Source organism: Homo sapiens, chromosome 3 (assembly GCF_000001405.40).
Source record: "Homo sapiens chromosome 3, GRCh38.p14 Primary Assembly".
Lineage (NCBI taxonomy): Eukaryota > Metazoa > Chordata > Mammalia > Primates > Hominidae > Homo > Homo sapiens.
In genome coordinates, this window is record NC_000003.12 from 177,608,560 (window position 1) to 177,632,958 (window position 24,399).

The window sequence follows — 24,399 nt, forward strand, 5'->3', positions numbered from 1 at the left end:
ATATGTATATTTACATAGGAAGAAACTCATGACCTTTGCTTTAATTCTCAAATGGGAACTAACACTAAAAATCGATGATTTACTGACATAATGTGTGTAGTGAAGCTGAGGCCACACCTGGGCCCAGGGTAACCCTTTCCAGGTACTGACATAGGAAGGTTTCTGCCCAAAGCCATTAGTGACTCTCTTCTCATCTTTTAACTGAGGTAGATTGTACTCTTCTGGGAGCTAAAAGGACTTGACTGAGTCTTTTGAAGAAAGTAAATTATTCCATTGCCTTGCAGAAATGTTTTATAGAGCTGTCCCTACAACTCAGTGATTTCCACCAGTGTGTTGTGAGCAGTTATATCAAAGCCCTTCTTGCATGTGTTAAATTCAAACTGTTTATTTATTTAAAAAATTATTTTTTAAAAGAAACTTTACAACTTGAGAGAAGACATAGAAAGGAAATAGACAGAATGGGAAAAGTGAAATCATCTAATCTAGGTGAGGAAAAGTATTCCATTTCATTTCCCATCTACTCTGTGTGGAATTGTTTTGTTCTATAGTTTTAAAAAATTAACAATAGCATAGACATTTTAATTTATGACTATATTTTCTTTATATCACAAGACAAAGAACCCTCTCTCTGTTTCTGGAAAACGATCATTCTGTACCAGATACACGCAGATTGTTGTGCATTATTACAGTGCAATGGGGAAATATTCAAATATCAGTTCCAAGTGCTAATAATAACAAAAGAACAGTGAGATTTGGATAAGAAGGGAAAAAATAAACTTAAAATTCCTGCTTTATATTTATGAGACACCATCTTGCTAAAAGGTATGTTGATGAAAAGAGTTGATGAAAAGAGTCAAACTCTGTAAAATCTTTGAAGAGGGTTATTCTAAGCCAAATGTGAGTGACCGTCACCTAAGGCACAGTCTTACGAGGTGCTGAGAACATATGTGCCCAAAATGGTTGGGCTTCAGCTTGATTTTACACATTTTAGGGGGATATAAGACATCAATGAATATAATGTGAGGGATGCATGGGTTCGGTCTGGAAAGGCGGGACAACTCAAAGTGGAAGTGAGGTGGGGGTGGCATAGAGGGTGGTGAGGGATGGCTTGGGGTGTGGTGGAGTGGAGTTTACAGGTCATAGGTGGATTCAAAGATTTTCTGATTGGCAATTGGTTGAAAGAGTTAGTTATTATTTAAAGACCTGGAATCAATAAAAAGAAGTGTCTGGGTTAAGATAAGGGGTTGTGGAGACCAAAGTTCTTATTAGTAGAAGATATCACAGAGGTTGCTGCCCTTAGAGACAATAGATGGCAAATGTTTCCTATTTAGACCTTTAAAAGGTATTTGACTCTCAGTTAATCTCTTCAGGGTTGAGGGGGCTGGAAGGGGAAAGATCTAGTTATGTTAAGTTAACAGAGATTCTTTACAGATGCAAAAGTTTCCCCACAAAAAATGGCTTTGCGGGACCATTTCAAAATATGGCAAAGAAACATAATTTGGTGTAAAATATTTTGATATCCTTCTTTATCTGTTATGTGATATTATACTAGAGTCAGGTTGGAATTTGCTGTATTATTGCTACAAAGAATCTGTTCTTGGCTGCGTTTCAGGCCAAGATTCAGTGCTCACACCTGTAATCCCAACACTTTGGGAGGCTGAGGTGGGTGGATTGCTTGAGTCCAGGAGTTTGAGAGCAGCTTGGGCACCATGGCAAAACCTTGTCCCTACAAAAAATACAAAAAAATTAGCTGGGCATGATGGTGTGCACCTGTAGTCCCGGATACTTGGGAGGCTGAGGTGGGAGGATCATCTGAGACTGGGAAGTTGAGGTTGCAGCGAGCCCTGATGATGCCATTGTACACCAGCCTGGGTGACAGAGTGAGATCCTGTCTCCAAAACAAACAAACAAACAACAAAGAAACAAATGCCTGTTCTATTTTAATGTTAATGCTGGTCAGCTGTGTCTAAACTCTGAAAGGGAGAGAGCATAATGATTCCTTCCTGTCACAACCTGAACTAGTTCTTCAGATTTCTTTGGAATTTCCTTGGTGGAGAGGGAATCCCTGCATTCACTTGGAGGGGCTTACAGTTTTATTTTTGGCTTACAGGTGGTCAAAAACATACTAAGTGCCTCACAAACTCCGGGCACACAAAGACAGCCAATAATTAATACTTCCAAAAAGATTTGAGGCTAACAAATTATACAATGGGTTGGTTAAGAAATCCAATAATTAACTCAGGCAATTCTAATGCAGGGAGCACATCTTGGCTAAGAGGAAGTGAGCCCAGCTAAGTGTTCTAGAACAGCAGAGGAGCGGAGACAGGCAGCCATATTTTAGGGTTAATGGCACAGCTTGGCCATATTTGTGCATGTGTGCAGTGATTTGTTTTTCAGACACAGACTCAATGACTTCCCAGGCTAAAAGACCAAGATATTTTGTGAAAAAAATATAAAACCAACCAGGCTTAAAAAAAAAAACCTCAGCTAGCAATCCACAATGTTTATCCTTTGCTGGAATCAATTCAAAGTCTGAGCAGTTATATGGATTTCTGAGTGGATACATTTACAAGATAAATGAACAAAAAAGTCCACCTAAACTAAGTAAATCTGAAGATTTAGTGATTTTTACAATGTCTGTTGTGGGAATTTATGATGTCAGTGTCTACGGACATTTAACCCTATCAAGTCGAATTTAAGTTTCTTGGAACCATAGGAAGTGCCACTGGGAATGGTGAAAGCTGTGGAATTAGGTTATTTGGATTTTTGTTTTTTAAACTCTCCCTGAGGGGCCGAGGGTCATTTCCTCCATATTGTTTCTTCAGGTTTAAATTGCTGCTTCCCCTCTGAGGCAGTGTGAAAAAGTGAGCTATGGAATAATGAGTCTTTTCAAGTCAAATGCAAACAATTCCACCTTAAAATAGCAGACCTCACCTTAAGCCAGCTTGGCAGCCTGCCAGAGAAGGGCATGAAAGCTGCACTTTAATCAAAAAGATGTGTATTCTTTATGCAGGCTGTGGAATGAACAGCTGGGAAGAGGGTTTTTATTGATTCTTTTTATTTCCCTCTCCTCTTCACCCCCCACCACGCTTTCTAACAAACACATTTAAAATTTACTGGCAGACTTTTTTCTTTTCTGAAACTATTGGAAGAAAAACTTTTTCCTTTCTAAGTGCCCCGTAATTTGGAAGCTTCCTAAAGGGGCTACAAGCTGCATCTCGATACTGCCTTTATCTTGACTGAAATCAAGCCCAGGCAACATTAGGTGCACAAGAATCCTCAGAGAAAAGGGAATAGTGAAATGCTCTGGCAGAAAGAAGCACTATTCCACTGAAGGCTGGATGGAGACACCCAGTTTTGGTCCAGGAATGACAAGTGCTCTGGCTTTAAGGGATGAAGGCAATAAGAATCACACACTGCTCTACCCCTTCGTGATGGAAGTACAGGCTGTAAAGCTATAAAGGATGATTTAATTGCACATAATTTTTGCTGCTGAACCGTGTAAGAAGGAATTTTAGGTATATACGAGACTAGGGCACATCAGTACACACCAGCGGTAATCAGTAAGGCCAGCAATCATCCTTGAAAACAGAGCAACACAGGGCAGTGCAGACATCACATCATGAGTATTAAAAATAATCTCTGTATGCTTTGGGGACCAAAAAATACACGAGGAGCAGTTGATCACTTTGACAGATGTAACAGTCCTCTCTCTCTCCTCTCTCTCTTTTTTTTTTTTTTTTTTGAGACAGAATCTCACTCTGTCACTCAAGCTGGAGTACAGTGGTGCAATGTTGGCTCACTGCAACCTCTGCCTCCTGAGTTCAAGCGATTCTCGTTGCCTCGGCCTCCTGAGTAGCTGGGATTACAGGTGCGTGCCACCACATTAGGCTAATTTTAGTATTTTTAGTAGAGACGGGATTTTGCCATGTTGGCCAGGCTGATCTCAAACTCCTGTCCTCAGGTGATCCATCCACCTTGGCCTCCCAAAGTGCTGGGATTACAGGCATGAGCCACCGTGCCTCCCTCTCTTTATTCTGTGCTAAAACAGAGATGCAAATTGGGGGTCTGGACAAAAAATCCAGCATGTTTGGCCTTCATAGTGTCTTCTAACAATCTTTAACATAGTGATAATGTGTAATTCATAGTATCTTCTAACAATTTTTAAAATTAGTGCTAATGCAAATTGGGGACTAGACCACAAACCCAACACGCAGACCTGTTTTGTTTGGCCAAAAAATTTTAAAGTTAGTGCTAATGTGTAATTTAGAAGTTACCATATAAACCCAGCTTTTCAGCTTCTCTTGAAAAATTGGAGATGTGGCACACTGGGTGTGCATCTCCAGATGAAAACAGCTGGAAAGATCTGAGTAGTAGATGCCCCATTAGATGAGGCAAGTGCTTGCTAGATTGATAACCTTGCCTTCCTATGCATGGAACCTGCCTGGCCTAGGTAAGCATTTGAGTTTACAGTCCCTATAGCAAATGTGCAATAGTTCAATTAGCAAGTAGCTACTGAACATCCTTTATCCATGTGCAGATTCTATTATAGCACTTCCCAGTTGAAAGCTTTTCATAGCTCTCTGCTTGCCAACATTATGAGATGCAAACTCTTCAGGTTGGAATAAAATCTCCCAACCTTTGCGTCATTCACTAATGCTGAGTTCTCTTCCCACACGTCCATGGATACTCACACTTCATATCTTCCAACTGCACAAGTTGTGTTTGTCTTCATTTGTTCCCGGAATCCCCCCTTCTGAATAGATGCTGCTGACTGTCCTCGTTCCACCCTTCTTTCACATAGTTAGCTGTGGAAGTCTTACTCATCTGCAAGGACTAGGTCAAGCCTGATTCATTGAAGACCACTCTTCTCAACTTCTTTGTGCAGAAGGGCCAATTTCCTTTTCTCTCTTCCTTCCTTTTCCCTTTTTTTTTTTTTTTTTTGAAAATTTCCAATCTGCTCACAGACATACAAAGCACAAAGCACAAGTTGTAATTTTTTATTATGAGATTCAGCAGGTAGAATTTCTACTTTGTCAATTGCTGTAAGAGTTTCTAAATAAATACTCTCAATTTCTGAACTTATTTCATATGGAGTAATAATGAGAGCTGGCTCTTGGATCATATTTTGAGTATCTTTTGTCAGATACTCTCAGGTGAATTAGTCTCCCTGTTACCTGCATTCACACAGAACTGTCTATACTTTTACCATGGCAAATTGTATTAGAGCTGTTTAGGTTGCTCTGCCTGTTCCATTTTAAACTTTAGGAGGACAAGAGCTTTTTTGAGTCTGTCTCCCTCATCTTGGCCCCTCTGGGCCTATTTGCCAATGAAAGGGGTTTAGTCAATGTTGGATTTTCAGCACTGTTCCCAGGAGGTGTCAGGAGCAGGAGGATTCAGAATCATTTTGCCATAGTGGTAGCCTTCAAGGAGTTTATAGTAATGTTAAATAGAAGATTAATGTTAAAAGAGAAACTTTAGCAGATTAAACCTTTAAAGAGTTTATTTGGGCAGACAGCAATTCATGAATTGGACAGCTCTAGACTGGAAGTGGTTCAGGGCTTCAGCAGAGGTGGTTGATGGAAAAGCTTTTACAGGGTGAATGAGAAAGCAGAGCAAAGAAATTATTTGATTGGTTGAAGTTTGGAAAATTGCCCTATTTGGACTATCTTGGTGGGAAGTTCAAGACAATAATCAATGCCCAGTTGGCTATGTGATTGGTTGAGCTTAAGTTTCATTTCTTTTAAATTAGCCTCTTGCATGAAATGAGGCTGAGCTAGGTTTTAGTTTCCTTAGGTAGGAACCCAGGGTTCCTGTCTAATGGCTTCTCATTTTATTATTTCAATGTTAACTTGCATAAATATATAGCAGATAGTACACAACAAATAATTGCTGAAGTTTGTGATACATCTTATGAAAATGTAGGTAGAAAATAAGGTGCCCAGTGAATGCTGGGCCAGACTTAGATTTCAGTCTATAACTTGAGAGAGACCTTCCCATTGAAGATGGCAGCCCTAAGTGGTTGTTTATATGGACAATGTACTCTGTGCTTTAGTTTGCTCCTCTTTCAATTGAGGGGTTCAATTAAGGGATCCCCTTAATTTCCATGGCCATATGATTCAGAAGTGTCAACAATGGAATAATCTACTATGTATATAGTTTGTAGAAAATAGTTAGAATGCACATATTTTTTCATCTTTTTTTTCCCAACCTGCCTAGGTGAAAATCTAACTTGGACATACTTCTTTATAGCAACATCTCTATAGATACAAATGACAATTTAGATCCAATTTATCACTTACTCATGTTAACTAATGTTCACTCCAGTCAGCTATATTGAAAATATTAAAATAATTAAACAAATTTCTGGGAGTTTGTGATAATGGGATTTGACTGGTTCTTCCTTTGGTATTTTCTGTGATGTTTCTCCTTCATTTTATTGCCAAAGTCAGAGGGATTGTTATAGTATAGGCCTGAAGCCTGCTTTCAGGATCTGTGCAGAACCAACCAACCAAGAGAGCCTTTTATTTTGTCCCCCAGTTGACCTCCTTCCAGATATGCTGAGTCCATTTCCCTGAAATGACTGAGCGGGGAGAGGTAACTGCAGCTGTGTTTGGATACCTTCTTTCTCTCCCTTGGCTCCAGCCCAGGGAAACGCACACACTCTTTCACAATCACACAAACCACTTCATTATCATATTTTTGAGGATGTTGGCCAGGGGAAAGGGCAGACCAGTCAGTAGGCTGGAAAGTTAGAAATGTGTGTGTTTATTTTTCCCTCCCCTCTCCACTGTGCTATTGGAACTGGTATAGAAAGGGAATAGTCATTCACAGTTGCCCCTTTTCAGGAGGGTGAAGTTCAGAGGAAGAAATGTTTGCATAGACATTTGATAATCATAATAAAAAGACCATTAGAAGCTCATTGATTAAACAGTTACTGCAGATTTCAACTACAACTTAGAACTGTTTTTTTTGTTTTTGTTTTTGTTTTTTTTTTTTTTTTAGACAAGGTCTCTCTCTGTTTCCTAAACTGAGTGCAGTGGCATGATCATGGCTCATTGCAGCCTCAACCTCCTGGCCTCTTGGGCTCAAGCAATCCTCCTACCTCAGCTTCCCGAGTAGCTGGAAGCACAAGCATGTGCTACCATGCCTGGCTAATTTTTTAATTTTTTGTAGAGATGGGAGTCTCCCTATGTTGCCCAGGCTGGTCTTGAACTACTGGGCTCAAATGATCCTTCTGCCTCGGTCTCCCAAAATGTTGGGATTTATAGGCATGAGCCACTGCACCTCACTAGATACTTAGGTACTTTGGAAAGAGGAGCCCAGATGGGCAAATGTATTAAGGGTTTGTCATTTATGATTGGCACTAGAGCTGTATCACATAGTGTGGAAGAAAATTAAATTAATTCTCTCCCTGTAAATGTGCTTTGTAAAATTTTAATGTGCTATGTAAATAAGTTGGTAATGTTTTCAATGCATAAAGCTGTAGCTTAGATTCAATGAATGTTTATTTTTAACTTATGAAGTGAGATTGTAGCTCATTTTATGAAAGAGGCTAACAAACCTTTGGATGTATAAATTCTGATATATCTATTGAACAAGGTATATGTTTTATTCAATGATCCGATATTGGTGACCTACTATGTGAAAATTACTTGAATAATGATAGTGAATACTTTTATGATACTATGGTTTACATGCTGTTCTTACATGGCATTAATTTATTTTGCCTCTATGAATACTATCGGTTATCACCTCCTGCAGATGAGGAAACAAAGGTATGGTTGTCTTTGACTTGGTTTTAGCGATGGAATTATAGGTTTCAAAAAATAGCATGGGAGTGCAGAGGGAAATCTAGGAGGCAGGATCTGAGTTGTGAACATTAGGAAGTTGCTAGACAAATGCTACGGTTTGAACGTGTCCCCCAAAAGTTCATGTGTTGGAAATGTAATCTCAATGCAACAGTCTTGGAAGGTGGGGCCTCACAGGAGGTAATTAGGTCAGGAGGGCTCTATCCTCATGAATGGCTTAATATTGTTATTGCAGGAGTGGATTAGTTATTGCGAGAGTGGGTTTGTCGTAAAAGCAAGTTCTGCTGCATCACTGTCTTGCTCTTTCTCCCTCTCTGTCACATGCACTCTATGAGAAATACATTTCTTTTCTTTTCTTTTCTTTTTTTTTTTGAGATGGATCCTTCCTCTGTCGCCCAAGCTGGAGTGCAGTGGCCCGATCTCAGCTCACTGCAACCTCCACCTCCTGGGTTCAAACAATTCTCCTGCCTCAGCCTCCCAAATAGCTGGGATTACAGGCGCCCGCAACCATGCCCAGCTAATTTTTGTATTTTTAGTAAAGACAGGGTTTCACCATGTTCGCCAGGCTGATCTCAAACCCCTGACCTCAGGCGATCCACCCGCCTTGGCCTTCCAAAGTGCTGGGATTACAGGAGTGAGGCTCCGCGCCGGGCCTAATTTCTTTTCTTTATAAATTACCCAGTCTGTGGTATTCTGTTATACCAACACAAAATGGACAAAGATAACAAAGGAGGTAGGAAAGTACATTGAAATGATTCCACTGTCACAAACATTTCTAAATGCTTTTCCAATGTATATGTTTTAAAATTACTTTCAAAATATGTGGCACATTTTTCAGTATTCTCAATTGTGGCAAATCTTTGGATGTGAAAGTATATTTGAATGTTGGACAAAGTGAAATATCATTCACATTCAAGTTTAGTAAATGAAACCAGTTATTTTTTCAATATTGGCAAATGGCTTAAAAAATAATACTAATATTTTGCATGTGCTTCATATATAAATAGGTTCTAAAGCTAATACCAAAAAAGTCTGAAGAACATTTTCAGCTTATCTTACAACTAGAAGCCCAAATAATAGGAATATGAATTTACATATGCAAATGAAAACCAGCTTCATTTTAAAAGTTTAATGTGGGCATTAGATGTACTTGTGTATTGTGCTTCCAAGGATCTGTGTGTACAGCTCTATTATCATACACTGCATTACAGGTGGGTGTGAGTTCCACCTCCAGCCTGTGAGATGCCTGCAGGGAGCCATCCTGAGTCCTCCGAATTGACACAGTGTCTTTGGGGTAGGAATTTCCCAGTGAATGCTTACTTAAATGAATTCAGTAAGTGCGTTTTGATTTTTCCATAGATTGACACAGTGGAACAGTGGCTAAGAGATGATTCTTTACTATAAGCACCCTTCATAGGCAAAGTGGGAATGTGCTTATTGATGAGGTCAAATAATTCAGACTGCGGTTCCCACATTGGTCTTGAGTAGTGGATGGCTCCACTAAAACACTAGGTTTCATGGGTTTCACCTGTTTTCTGGTAGTTAATTTAAGGAGATGGTGCACTAAGACAACTTAGATGGAAAAAATAAATAGCAGCATAAAAAGCAAACTGTGATTGTATAGAACTGTGAGATAATATTCAACTTCGTTTCATTTATTTATTTATTTATTTAGTGACAGAGCGTCGCTCTATTGCCCAGGCTGGAGTGCAGTGGCACGATCTCACTGCAACCTCCGCCTCCTAGGTTCAAGTGATCCTCCTGCCTCATCCTCCTGAGTAGTTGGGATTACAGGCACCTGCCACCACTCCCTGCTAATTTTTGTATTTTTAATAGAGATGGGGTTTCACCATGTTGGCCAGGCTGCTCTTGAACTCCTGACCTCAAGTGATCTGCCCACCTTGTCCTCCCAAAGTGCTGGGATTACAGGTATGAGCCACTGCACCCGGCCTCAACTTGATTTTAATGTGTGGGTGAGAAATATATGTTCTCATGTACTCAGTTTTGGTTTAAGTGTATAAATGGACTTACACGTGACACAGGTTGGAAAGAAGCAGAACACTTTAGGCAACAAGGCACTTGATGAAGCACCATGGTACTCTAAGACCTTCTCCACTTTGTCCACATCCCACCTTCCTTTCATGATGCAGCTCTCATTCCACCTCCTTCCTGAAATCTCTCCTGACCTCTTCATTCTAATTAACATACCTTTCTCCGGACATCCAGAGCATCTCATCTTGCCTTTCCTAAGGTACTTTTTCCCAACACCTTCCACCTGGTTTAATACCTATCTGTATATATCTTCTCCTCCTCCCCACCACTATATATTATGCCCCACATGCGCAGAGTCTGTGTATCTACATCTTTGTCTCTTTACATGGTGTCTGGCACAGCACCTTCTTCAGAGTGGGTTTTCAATATGTGATTATTGAAAAGTAAATGAGCAAGATGGCCATGACAAAGCAAAGGAGTAATAAACAACTTCTTCCTAAGAGACGAAAGATATACAATGTTTTGCTTTGTGAATACACAGCCATGCAGGTCTAGAGAGAAATGCAATGTACGTTTATTTTTGTTGTGTTTATTTGTTCTTAGTCAAGGTGTCTAATCTACTATGCTGTTTCCTTATGCACAGATGGAAACTTATCATGCATAGGAGACTCTGAAGGAAATAATTTTTGTTTAAACTTTGCCTTAGAAACTTCAAGGGAATTCAGAACAGGATTTCTTTAATGATCTGGCTGTATTATATTACCGATTACCAAGCTGAAAAATGCTTGGCAGAACTTTTGGCTTCTGAGGTTTTGGATGTCTTCCAGGTAATCTGCCTCGGAATTTTGAAATACAAATAAATGAGTTCCAGTTCAAATTTTAAAAAATCTGAGCTGCTAGGCCTTTGTTTACCTTCCATCTGAACATTTTGGTACAGATATACCAACCAAGCAGAAAGAAGATAATCAGTCGACATTTCTGAGGTTATTAGTGGCCTTGGTTTAAAAGAACAAAATGAGAGTAAATGGTTTAAAACTTCATCATGTTTCTTCCTAGTAACTGGCTTCTGGTGTTGGCATTTATTTTCCAGGATGTTTTCTCCCAGTTTTTATTTGGGAGAGGAGGACGAGGGTGTTCTTTGCTGCTTTGTTTCTCCCAGAGGGAAGATTCTGAATGTTCCTTTGTTAAACGTTACACACGTAGCTTTTGTTTTACTTTCTTGTCTGGTAGCCAAGTATTTTTCAAGTCACTCAACATTCTACTGAGGCATGCTAGTCCACTGAATATGATTATAAAGGAAAGCCTAACATGACCTAAAAAGAGGGAGGACGGAGAGCTTTGGCTGTTGTGAGCACCACAGCTAATGAAGAAGCAGGATAATTTGCATGAGCGATATCCCTTCAGTTATTTCTGTAAATCTCAGAGCCAGTTCCTGTCAAGTTGTGAGGAAACAAACATTTTTTATTAAGGAATAAAAAGATAGGCCAGGCCCAGTGGCTCACACCTGTAATCCCAGCACTTTGAGAGGCTGAGGCGGGCAGATAGCGAGGTCAGGAGTTTGAGACCAGCCTGGCTAACATGGTGAAACCCCGTCTCTACTAAAAATACAAAAATTAGCCGGGCATGGTGGTGGGTGCCTGTAATCCCAGCTACTTGGGAGGCTGAGGCAGGAGAATCGCTTGAACCCGGGAGGCGGAGGTTGCAGTGAGCGGAGATAGCGCCATTGCACTCCAGCATGGGCAATAGAGTAAGACTCTGTCTGAAAAAAAAAAAAGAGAATAAAAAGAGAAAGAAGGAAAGCCCTTACTTCCACCCCCTAAACACACATGCGCACATTCCACGCACACATATATGTGTGTACATGCTCGGAAGTGAAGTGGTTTTTGTAGGATTTCGTGGCTATAACACCGTCGTTTATGTTCTGGGAGGCTGGGGTGAGTCAGCAAGTATTCTGAAAGGGAAAGACATGGTGGGGAGGATAAAACGGCTCTTCATTTTAAGAAATCCCTCTTATCAAGCCTACTATTAACTTGTTTCTTTGGCAACTACTATGCATTTGCTACGGAAATATATCCCCAGAATAAAATTTCCATGGAAGGAAAATAATAGCATCAAATTTTTCCTCCAAAGTTTCCGATACAATGAAATTTATTTGTCCTTAACTTTGGATTGGTGGAAGAAGACCAATACCTCTCACAATACAATTCAAAGACATGAGATGAAAACAATCTTTCTCACTTTACAATTTTGGATGACATGTTTTATTTAAAAACTTTTCGTTTCTGTGGGAGGTTTTTACAGGAAACTATCTTTAGTATTTCATATGACCATTGTCATTTGAAGATGATGCTGAACTTGTCTTCCCACTTGTAAGCTCTTCTTACAGACCAGCATGAAACAAGCAGCTTAGCCCATCAGCTAATGCCCAAACTGAGACTGGGCTGGCAGGACAGGTGGACAAGCCACCTGAAGCCTAGAAATGACCTGACCTCTCTACTCTGGTAGGTTCTGAGACAGCCACTTAGCTCTAGTTTCACCAGCATTCTTTTCGATATCTTGGAATAGAATAGGCCCTGAGAAAACTGTGAAACAAACAAAAATAATTTTTTTCCAGGAATATTTTATTCTGCCTCCTGCCTTCTTCCCTTCACCAGGTTCCTAGTTTCTTTACCTGTTCCTGGCCCTGCAAAGCCCTCATGTGTCACTGTTCTGGGTGAGAATCTTCTCTCTAAAGCATTTGAGACCCTTGCTCTTCCCTTTACCACCGCATCTCCAGACCCTAATTCCTTCCCTAGTGAAGACTTAGCATTAGATGGTGATGATATGAAAATAGGAGCAACTAACATTTGTCACATTCTTTCTTTGTTTATGGCCTTCGCTAAGCCTGGTAGCTGACCTGTCTCATTTAATTACTACAACCATCTTATAAGCTCTATAGAATTTTGAATTCCAGTTTTATTTCTGAGAGACAGAGGCACAGAAGCAAGAGTCACTCAGTTACTACACGGGAAACGTGGATTTTAATCTGGGTTAAGTAGCATTCTAGTTGAAGAGTATACAGTGGCAAGTGTGAGACAACCTGAGCATTTAAAAATGACTATGAATATATAAAACTCCGCAAGTACATAACTAGAAAAGAGAATGTCTTCCAAAACAAAACTCATTTGCCATCACTGGAGGTGATTATTACATGAATTGGTTATTCTGAGAATTGAGAATTAAAAATAATTAAAGATTTAATGTCTTTCTAGAAGATACTGAATTTCAGCATAACTAAATAGTTCTACTTGATGAAGGAAAACTTTTCTTTATTGAAGAATGTCAGCTGTGAATGTAGATGCAATAATACGGTCAGAAAGTCACCATTTTGCAGCCCTTGATAGGATGGAAATTCAAATAAGAACCTTTGACAGATGCTGAAACCACTAAAAGAAAGGTGGACAGGGACCATTGTGACAGACTTCCCCAGATGATTGCCAATTGAGTGTTGGGGCGGGGGCATAACTCTGCAGCAGAGGCATCTGTCCATCATCATCCGATGCTATGATGCTCTTGACACTGCTGTTGATGCAATGGCCAGTTACTGTGAAGATCCAAATGTGGTACAATATGAAGTTGCAATATCATCTATGAAGCATTCTTGCTGAAAGTGAATCTACTCAAGCCTTTAGTTAAAGTTTCCACTTCATAAGAAACACAGAAACTAGAGGAAAAACTTAATCAGCACCACAAGGAAATAAACAAATCCAGAAGGCAGATCATTCTATAGACTGATCTTGATTCCTTAGCAATTAATGTCATGGTACAAAAAGGGAGTAGGAAGGAGGTGTTTTAGAATTATATAATTAGCAAATGTTATTCATGATTTTTCGCAGGATACTAGTTTGAACAAACCAACTGTAGAAAAGATACTTTTGGAACAATTACAGAATTTTGAATATGGTATTAGGGAATTGGTAATATATTTTATCAGGTGTGATAATGCTATTGTGATTATGTAAAAAAAATCCATCTTTAGAGATGCACGCTGAAGTATTAAGGAGTAAAATACTATGACATGTTAACTTATTTTAAAGTATTTCAACAAAAACTGAAGCAAATATAGCAAAATGTCAATAGTCGTTAAATCTAGGTGATGACATGGAAGTAGGAATTTTTGAAAATTTTACAATTAAAACATATAAGAATGAAAAAAAAAAAAAAAAGAGTGGATTGGTCTCAATACAGAGAGCTCTGGATTGCAGTCCCAGCTCTAACCACTTACTTTTTGTAGGGTTTGGGCAAGTCGCTTCACCTCAGTACCTTCCTCTGCAAAAAGGTGGCAATAGCAGTGTTTGCTTCCTAGAATTGTTGTGGGAAAAAATGAGTTAACACAAGTAAGGAGCTCAGAACAATGATTGGCATGTAGTAAGCTTTCAACAAATGTTTGCTATAATTGTTTCATGTAGGAGGAGTCAGATGGAATTAGGTTTAAATCCTGGCTCTGTCTTTTATTAGCTATGCTGCCTTGGGTTGTTTGCTTAACCTCACTAAAACTCAGTTTTCAGTGGAAGTAATAATACTGCTAGGGTTGTGGTGGGATTAATAACCTAGCATATATAAAGTCACTAGCATATAGTAACCACTTAATAGATAGTGGCTTTGACTATCAGTGCTGTCAGATAGCTGTAATTTTTATGAGGCCTTCAATGCCCTACACCAACGCGCAGCTAAAACTGGAGTGTCCTGGCACTGTAGTTGTACAGGAGAACGCTGATAGATCTGCAAAGGGAGTGTGGGGAAGCCTCTGTGGTCTCCACTCATGTCAAGACAAACATCATGCCATATAGGTGGCTCCTCACTCTGTGTGTTTGGCAGAGGCCTTGCTTTAAGGATGGTTGGAGACAGCACATAGGGCAGGTACAGGAGAAGATCTGGGCTTTTTCAGGGTACAGAATGTGGATAAGACCCAGAAGAAAGGAAAAGAGATGGGGAACTAGGGAGTCTGGCTCATGTTTGTTTCCACCTTAACTTCTCTTGGAAGTTTGAAATAGTCCATGAAAGTGAAAGCACTTTTCATCACAGTCATCAACTGCTATAGGCATTTGCAGCCTGCAAATAGATTAATTTCACTGGATGTTAATTTCACTGTGAGGCTTTAGCCAGCACTACTGTTTCTCAACACATAGCCTTACCTGGAACATGTAGTGTTGCCATGTGCCCAGGGAGATAATTTAGGGACTAATAGGCCTTGAAAGAGAACGCGGCCACAGAAGATAGCATTTCTAATACTTGACTCTAGTGATTATATAGATTTTTAATGGCATCAATGGGGCAATGTGAAAATCTATCATTTTCTTCTTCTTTTTTTGACAGTGTAAAGAGGTGTTTTCGTTTTAACTGTGTGTGTGTAACATTAGGCAAAATTATTTAAAGTCAATAGATTTTTATTCAAGGAATTCCATGTTGTAAGTTCTTCCACTGTCCATCGAGGTCACTTTAGATCCTCTAAAGAGCTGGAGTCAAAATTTATCTTCAAAAGATTTATCTTCAAGTTAGCCCTTTTTAATGAAACTGATGCTTATTTTAATGCAGTTGTCCTGTCAGGCCATAATTCTTTGATTTTTGGCATCTGTCGTCATCTCCTTTTAATATGGCTATACTGATGAAGATTTCAAAATTTACCTTTGGAAAAATCAAGAATCTTTAAGATCTAATTTCTTCAACCAATTTACTTTAGGGTCATTTTTAGTGTAGGTGGATCTGCCTAGTTCTCAATGTGACACCCTCTCTAAACCTGAGTGAGTTCAAATCATATTCATTCCTAAGCGATCACACTCAAGAATAGTGCAGAGTGTGGAATATGCCAATACATAAGGTAAAAAAGTAAATTATCAGGTCTTTCATATATTTAGTAACAGTCTTTTTCATACTTGTAGCAACTGTCTTGTAGTTCCCACAGATCTAACAAGAGTCCTGTGAGTAAAGTAAAACCACAGAGTTAACTCTATGAGGCGTTTCCAATGATGTGCAGCCTACAGAAAAGTCCCATCGGGAAAGACCTCAAAAAATGTATCATTTCCTTTTGCACTCTGAGCCTCTCTATTTTTCATCTTCTGTCTTAACAGCTATCTTTTTGTTTCTACTTTAGACACTAAGAGACTTCTGGTCTACCTCTTTTCTCATTATTAAGTTCGGCTTATAGGAAAATGTGTACGCCTAGGCATTTACATAAAATCAAAGGCCTGAACACAGATCAAAGGATATGCATGAGTAACGGCGAGTAAACAGTTAAGAACAAACAAATCTAATCTAACAGGCCTTTATGGCTCTTGAGATGAATGTATGCCCAAGTTCACCAACATTGTTGTTTTTGTCTCCCTGGGCACAGGGAGACACCACGTGTTCCAGGTAAGGCTATGCAGTGGCATTCTGGCCAATTGGATATGAGCTGGAGCAACACGTGCCACTTGCAGAAATAACCTACATACGCTTCCTTTGTGTGGTCATCACGTTCTCTTTTCTGCCTTTTTTCTCATTAGCTACCTTGAAAGAACTTTAAGGGCCAATATGAGGGTGGAGCCACAAGATTGAAGGTGCCTGGGTTCATGAATGAATGTGGAACAGAGTCCCTCCATCCTCCCACACTGCGCTGTGACATGAGCAAGAAATAACAGTTTCACTATGTCAAGCTGCTGCAACTGGGGAGTTGTTTGTTATAGAAGTTAGACTACATCGAAATAATATATTCCTTTTGACTGACTTTCTTTGCAGCTGCCAAGGATAGCAGAGATGTCCTCTGCTTTCTAAATTACATGTTTGTTGATATTTTTACGATCAGGGACTTTTTAAGTAAAGAAACCAAGAAGCTTGTTCACTAGGCTTCAGTCACCTCACATGGAAGTCAGTACCTTCCTGTATAAACACTAGGGTCTGAACATTTGTTACCTTATTTAATCTGAGTACTCTCTTTGTGAGGATCTTGAGGGATGAGGAAACTGGGGCTTAGAGAGGTTAAATGACTTGGACAAGTTTCCACAGCCGGTGTTTTCTTCAGATCCAGGATTCAAATGAACATTTTTTGTTTTTACTTCAAAGACCTTGATCTTTTCACTACAACATACTCCTTTCTAAGAAAAGAATAGTCGGGAAAGAGACAGAATGCAGAGGGAGTGCATAAGGAATTTCTGGAGAGATAGCAAAACCTCCACAAAAGCTGACTACCAGTTTTAGTTCAGAAACTTACAAGACAATAGACCATAAAACAAAAAGGTAAAAAGGAAAGAGAATAATCATGAATCCCGATCATAAGATTGGGTTGCTGGGATCCCATATTCAAAACTTAGTTCAAAAATTTTTAGTGTTCCTCTAATCAGTTATTTAGGTTTAATTTAAATTGTTTAACAAAATGTTATTATTTACTCAGAATCTCTGAGTTTATTATACTCAAATAAGTGTCTTTTTTTTTTAACTTTGATTTTAAGTTCAGGGGTACATGTGCAGGATGTGCAGGTTTTTTCCATAGGTAAACATGTGCCATGGGGGTTTGTTGTGTAGATTATTTCATCACCCAGGTATTAAGCCTAGTATCCATCAGTTATTTTTCCTGATCCTCTCCCTGCTCCCACCCTCCACCCTCCGGTAGGCCCCAGTGTGTGTTGTTCCCCGCTGTGTGTCCATGTGTTCTCATCACTCAAATAAATTTCTTTTTATTTCAAGTTCTGGATCTAAACCCTAAGGGGTTTTAGGGGATATGTATTAGTCAGGGTTTTCCAGATCAACAGAACAAATAGGATGTGTGTGTGTGTGTGTGTGTGTGTGTGTGTGTATGTGTGTGTGTGTCTGTAGAGAGAGAGAGAGATTTTAAAGTAAGAATTGGCTCACATGATTGTGGGTGCTGGCAAGTCTGAAATTTACAGGGAAAGCCAGCAGGCTGGAGACACAGGGAGGAGTTGACATTGTAGTTTGAGTCTGAACGCAGTCTGGAGACAGACTCTTCTCTTCCTTAGGAGATCGCAGTCTTTTTTTTTTTCTCTTAAGGCCTTCAACTAATTGGATAAGGCCCACCCACATTATGGAGAACAATCTGCTTTATTCAAAGTCTACTGATTTAAATGTTAATCTCATCTAAAAAATATGTTCACAGCAACATCCAGACTGGCTTTTGATGAAATATCTGGGTATCATAGCCTAGTCAAGTTGACACATAAAAATAGCCATCCTAGGTTATTAATTACAAACATGTTCAAATCTAGGCAGACCCTAATGAATGTCTCTGGTTACTGGTTTGGTGGTACTCCTCCTGAATGGGACTGCTTCACTCCCGTCTGTCTGGTACGGAGAAAAAGAATGGCTATTGAAACCCACAAATACATGCTTAATCAAGCATTGAAGCAAAATTCCAAACACTAAAGTCAAAGAAATTTTAAATATCATCCAGCAGGTGAGCAAAAAATGTCTTGGATCATAGCGGATTGCCTTTTCTACCTCCACTGAATATTAACCCTCATCAGTGCCTGTTCTGCTCCCTCCCTGCCCAAAGAGACTTCTCAATGCCTATTGAACTTAAAGCTGCCATCACTTGTTTAATATTGAATTTTTCTCTGTAGGTGTTGGCCTCTGATATCCTTGCGGCTCAGCTGCAATGTATTTCAATCCTTTTTAATAATTCAAATATGTACCATGATGTTACATCCCATTCTAGTATTCTCTCATCTCTGGGTCTTTTCTTCCATTTCCCACTCCTCTAGCAGTAAAAGCTCTTGTGGCATTTGCATCCATGTACAACCAACAGATCATTAGTTTCATGGGAAATTGTCAGGTGGCAGAGCTTTCCTTTTGCACTACTCCTAGGACTATAAAAAGCACACCACAAGCATATTTCAGCAAAGCTAAAATTAAAAGTTTAATTAACAAAAATGCTACTTAATAATACATTTGGATCGATTTGGCTATGTCACATAGTAACTGCCAGTCATATCTGAAAAAACAGAAACGACAAATGACAAAATGATATAAACCTCTCAAATCATCTTGTGGATGGATCACTTTGTGGTCCAGGAGTCACAGTTCCACAGCTCTCACTGTACTTGCTTGAGTGTGTTGATCTAAGACCCCTTTGGCACCTCTGCATCAAAGTGCCTGTTCCACCCCTTCCTGCAGCCTTCACATGCCTCCGATGCTGGAGGGCATGCAGGAGCCCTCTCTGCAGCACTCCTCCTTCCTATTTTAGATGCCTACGACCAGCGACATGAGACCTGCGCTAGGATCTGCCACAATCGCCTCTGCTGATCATCTGTGCAGCATAACATCATTGGAGAGTAGGAAAGGGAACTTAGTTTATTTTGTGGTGGTCAAACCATCTTTTTCTGCCCTCTATTTTATTCTTGGGATGGTGGACTATTTCCTGATCCATCTAGAAAATAGTGGACTTATAATCCTTTCTTATTCTAAAATCCAATGAATATTATCTTCCCAATGTAGGTTATAAAGTTTTCGAAATCACAAACTGTGTTCCATATTTGTTGAGTATCTTCACATAGTAACATTATATACTTTTAAATATTTGGTGGGTGTTAGGGGCTCAATTTCTGTTGTCCTGAGTGATTTTCTGTCAAATTAATAATTGGACTGCAAATGGGTAAAGTGTATTAAAAAAAAATCTTCTTACAGAATGTTAAAGACACTCAGATTTGATTGAGAGACAGAATTTATATAAATAAGAAAATGTCTTTGAGAGAAAAAATGTTTCTAACTATTATTTTTTTTCTGAGAAGGGAGATGTATTAGTCTGTATTCATGCTGCTGATAAAGACATAACTGAGACTGGGCAATTTACAAAAGAAAGAGGTTTAATGGACTTACAGTTCCAAGTGGCTGGGGAGGCCTCACAATCATGGCAGAAGGCAAGGAGGAGCAAGTCACATCTTACATGGATGGTGGCAGGCAAAAAGAGAGCTTGTGCAGGGAATCTCCTCTTTTTAAAACCATCAGATCTCATGAGACTCATTCACTATCATGAGAACTGCACAGGAAAGATCTGCCCCCATAATTCAATCACTTCCCACCAGGTTCCTCCCAGGGCACATGGGAATTGTGGGAGTTACAATTCAAGATGAGATTTGGGTGGGCACACAGCCAAACCATATTAGAAGAAGTACTGAAGAGTCACTCAAAGCAAGTAAATGTCATGTGTCTGAGTTACTGTTAGATACTCTTTGAAGAAGTCTTTGAATAAAGAGTACATTTCTGGAACATGTGGTTAGTCAGGTGGTGACTAAAGTGGTTGATCATGGACACAACTGACTGCAGGCTCCACAGAGCAGCTTTTGGAGTCCAAGATCACTGCCAAAAAAGAACAGAGGGATGGGAGGGTCCTTTCTGATTATAACTGTAAAAGCAACTTATGCCTCAAGACTTTTAAACGTTTTGCCCATAATTTCATGAAAAGTTACTGGTAGAATGGTGGCTAGCTCCAGCTATTTTTTTTTTTCCCCTAGGGCGATGTTTGTTCTCTACACTGCACTAAATGGAGAACAGCTCCACTGCTTCTTTTCTCTTGAGCACATTGTCTGTGAACCAATGTTTAGGTGGGTTTTCAGCGACAATCAAGGTGTCCCTCCAGAGTGTCTGGGGTGCAAGAAGCAATGACAGGAAAGCAATCTCGGAGAAGGAAAGGAAAGCAAATGGGAGAGCAGGAGGAACAAAGAGGGGGAAGAAAAAAGATACACAGAAGAACCATCTATTGATCTAGAATGTTTGGAAATGTTTATTTTGGTTGACAGAAGGCTGCCCTTCATCTCATTCACAGTCAAACAAGTCTTAAAGATGTCATTTAACACCAAAACTAAACTGGGCATCAGTTAATTTGTTTCATATCATGATCAAAGTCTTATGATTTTAACTTCTAGTTATTATTGTGAATCTCTAAGAAAAACTCTGGTTCTATTGAGTCCAGATAGATGGATTTTACTGCATTCATTGTATACCATGGACAATTGTTTCAGATGCCATTTGTTGTCCCGAGTTGTCATGTCCTAGCCTGCCTCACTGGTTCCAATCTATTATTTCAACAGAAAAGAGAAAACATTTCCATGGAAGAGGAAACAGGAAATTCCAACAGATCAGCAACAGTTGGAGTGCTAACCTGTCACTGGAATGGGAAAAAAAATGCTGTCGTTGACACATCTTTTCCTTGTTTTTGACACAAATTAGGTAACTCACTGTCTCTTCACAAAATTGATGGGGGTGTGAAAAATGTCTATGCAGTATATAGAGATATTCATAACAAAGACTTATGCTACGAAAAATGTCCTTTGTTCACAATAGAAAGAATAACTCATGCTTTACATAATTTGCACATATATATTTTGTTGTTGTAAATCCTGGTTTGCTCACTAAGCTGAAGTTCATTTTCTCACCATGATTCTTGAGCCCAAAACTCTGATGAATCAAAAGGATCAAATATTGGGCTCCTACATTTTATGTGCAGTAGTTGTGCAGTTCACCTCACTGGGTCTGCATTAAAGCCCCCACTTTAATGAAAAGGATTGTTTCTTATTCTCAAAAGCAATTTTGAAATTCGGACTCAGAGACTTTTTATTCCTATGTTTTGTGTTTCTTGAAAGAATAATCCCAGATATAAGGATAATTACCCTATTTTTGATTATTTAAAAATATATTCAATATTCACTCAAAAATACATATGATTTCTGGTTTCGATAATTGTATTAGGGTGATATATAATGTTAATCCTAGGGGAAACAAAGTGAAAGGAATGGAAATGTAAAAAGAAAAATATTTATTGACCTGCTACCGTGGGCCAGGAATTGTGGGAGGTACTTGGTATACAATGGTAATTAACCAGACAGAACCAATAATTCCCTCCTCTCCTCATTTAGTTATGAAGTTGTCATTTAATCATACCAAAGTCTTTTTCACTGCAATTGAAGGTAATTTGTATTTTATTCTCTTCTAGAAACCTTGATTTTACTACTTACTGAGCATTTACAGCATGTTAAGCACTTATTCCTAGGTGTTTTCCATATTTGATTATTTCATTCTTACAAGCACCGACTGAGTAAGTGTTATTACCCACAATTTGCAGATGAGGAAACAAATGTGAGTAAGTTAAATTAGTTACCTCATATATAAAGTGGCTGAGGCCGGGCACGGTGGCTCACACCTGTAATATCAGCACTTTGAGAGGCCGAGGGTGGATACTTGAGGTCAGGAGTTCAAGGCCAGCCTGGCCAATATGGCAAAACCCCATCTCTACTAAAAATACAAAAATTAGCCGGGTGTGGTTGAGCGCCTGTAATTCCAGCTACTCAGGAGGCTGAGGAAGGAGAATCACTTGAACCTGGGAGGCGGAGATTGCAATGAGCTGAGACTGCGCCACTGCATTCCAGCCTAGGCAACAAGAGCGAAACTCCATCTCAAAAATAATAATAATAATGATAATAAAATAAATAATAATAAAGTGGCCGAGCTGGTACTTACTTTCACATGGGATCATCTAAATCTATAGAATGTTCTCATCTCTCCTCACAGCCCATCACTGATGATGAACACCTCCATGCCATGTCCTTCCAGACTTAAATATTCTCTCAGGATAAAGACTGCCAGATTCCTTTCATCATAGCCTAATTATAGCATTTATTACATACTAACAATCTACTTTTCTACCTCCTTCTGTGGTTAACTTAGCAGAACCATAAACTGGACATCAGTTTCTTAATCACGGCTTGGTTAATGTAGAAGGAGTTAAGATAATGGGTGCAGAGCCAATATTATTGCTCATCTTCTGATGAACATCACGTAGATAACAAAGAACTTTTGTGCCAGCGATGTGAGTGGGTTTGAAGTATCTCTACTTAAATGCTACTTCCACCATCCCTTTATAATTTTTTCTCAAGCTAGCCTTTTGTTTCCAGTTACCATTTAAAGTCAGAAAAGAAATCCTTGAATAAATTATTAAATTTAACTTCTTAACTTTAATATGAAAAGGTCTCACCAAGGGATGCCTAAGTTGTCTGGGCTAGAAAGTATACTGGTTCTTTTTAACTCAGTGGTATGGAAATTTTAGGATAACAAAGAGGCAGAGAGAAAACAAGGCACATATTTTTTCCCAACAAACATGAAGTTCAAACATTACTCACCATCTCTTAGCTTCTATGTGAAGATGGACACACCCTCAAGGCTTCTGGGCCCCAGAGCTGTTGTTGCTTTTTTTTTTTTGAGGCAGAGTCTCGCTCTGTTGCCCAGGCTGGAGTGCAGTGGTGCAATCTCAGGTCACTGTAGTCCCGAGTAGCTGGGACTACAGGCGCCTGCCACCACACTCAGCTAATTTTTGTATTTTTAATAGAGATGGGGTTTCATCATGTTGGCCAGGATGGTCTTGATCTATTGACCTCACGATCCACCCGCCTCAGCCTCCCAAAGTGCTGGGATTACAGGCGTGAGCCACCGCACCCAGCCTGTTGTTGCTTTTTAATGATTGGAGTAGATAGTGCCAGAGCAGGTGCCTATGCGGTATAGTCCAGTCTCCTCATTCCTAGTAAGATCATGTGCAAATTTCTCTCAGGACTCAGTGCCAGGCAAGTCTACAGTTCTTCCAGTAAGTAAATTGCTTCTCTCAGACATTGTGAATGCCTTTTCTTTTTGTTTAGCTGGTAAGAAGCTTAATTCCAAATTTAAGGCTCTACTATGTTGTCCTCAACTTGGTTTTGGCTTCATCTTACTTTCCCATTATCATCTTTCATTAATCCTGATTTCTTTCTTTACTTTTATGCTTTATGTATCTCTGAAAGCAGCTTGAAATTCTTTCGAGAATGAGGCTACATGTAAATAATCAATACTACTACTAATAATATTTGAGCAGCTTTATCCTTTATCATCTCTACATCCCAAATAATTATACTGTTAACAGTTCAATGAAATATTCTGTTGTCTAGGGGGAAGAGCCAGGGCTCTACCAGGGCCCGCCATGGTAAAAATCTGACTTCAGTGATCTTTATAAAATTTTTACAGGTTAATTTTGCATCTGAGAAAGAGAACATACGCCTATATTGACATTTTTATAGTTCTTAATATCCACTGTCTCTTTCCAAAGAAATTAATCAATTATAACTGCCACCAACCATGAGTGAGATTGCCTGAATTTGTGTATCTTTGCTGAAACAGGGATTTATAGCTTTACTTTCCCCCCTACATTTGTAATACATGCCAGTCATTTCTAAGGTTGTTTTCTCAATTTGGGGACCATAGATTTCTGGGATACTTCATAGATCCTGAGAAAGTTCCTGGTTTCATAAAATGATTTTGATGGAAAAGAGGAATTAGGTCACTCTTCTGCAATAAATCTTTTGCTATGAAATTTAAAGATGAAGACTGTGATTAAGAATTAAGAGGCCGGGCGCGGTGGCTCACACCTGTAATCCCAGCACTTTGGGAGTCTGAGGCGGGTGGATCACCTGAGGTCAGGAGTTTGAGACCAGTCTGGCTAACATGGCGACACCCCGTCTCTACTAAAAATACAAATGTAATCCCAGCTACTCGAGAGGCTGAGGCAGAAGAATGGTGTGAACCCGGGAGGCAGCGGTTGCAGTGAGCCGAG

At 39.4% G+C, this 24,399-nt stretch overlaps 1 long non-coding RNA gene and 1 other non-coding gene across 2 annotated transcripts in view, besides 1 other annotated feature; one reads left to right on the top strand and one right to left on the bottom strand.

Annotated features, from left to right (window-relative positions):
- The window catches only part of LINC00578 (long intergenic non-protein coding RNA 578), a 310,784-nt gene that overhangs the window by 166,639 nt on the left and 119,746 nt on the right, over positions 1–24,399 (top strand). Inside the window, exon 3 of the long non-coding RNA NR_047568.1 lies at positions 20,858–20,996. This is a non-coding gene — a long non-coding RNA (long intergenic non-protein coding RNA 578). The remainder of the gene's footprint in view (positions 1–20,857; positions 20,997–24,399) is intronic.
- Positions 1,612–2,252: an enhancer, noted in NCBI's record as "OCT4-NANOG hESC enhancer chr3:177327959-177328599 (GRCh37/hg19 assembly coordinates)". NCBI's record gives its function as "activates a minimal SCP1, AML or CMV promoter by ChIP-STARR-seq in naive and primed H9 embryonic stem cells {active_cell/tissue: H9 hESC(naive and primed)}" and the evidence as "EXISTENCE:reporter gene assay evidence [ECO:0000049][PMID:30033119]".
- On the bottom strand, positions 15,723–15,850 carry LOC124900562 (small nucleolar RNA SNORA18). Its single transcript, XR_007096311.1, has one exon. It is a non-coding gene; the product is annotated as a small nucleolar RNA SNORA18 (small nucleolar RNA).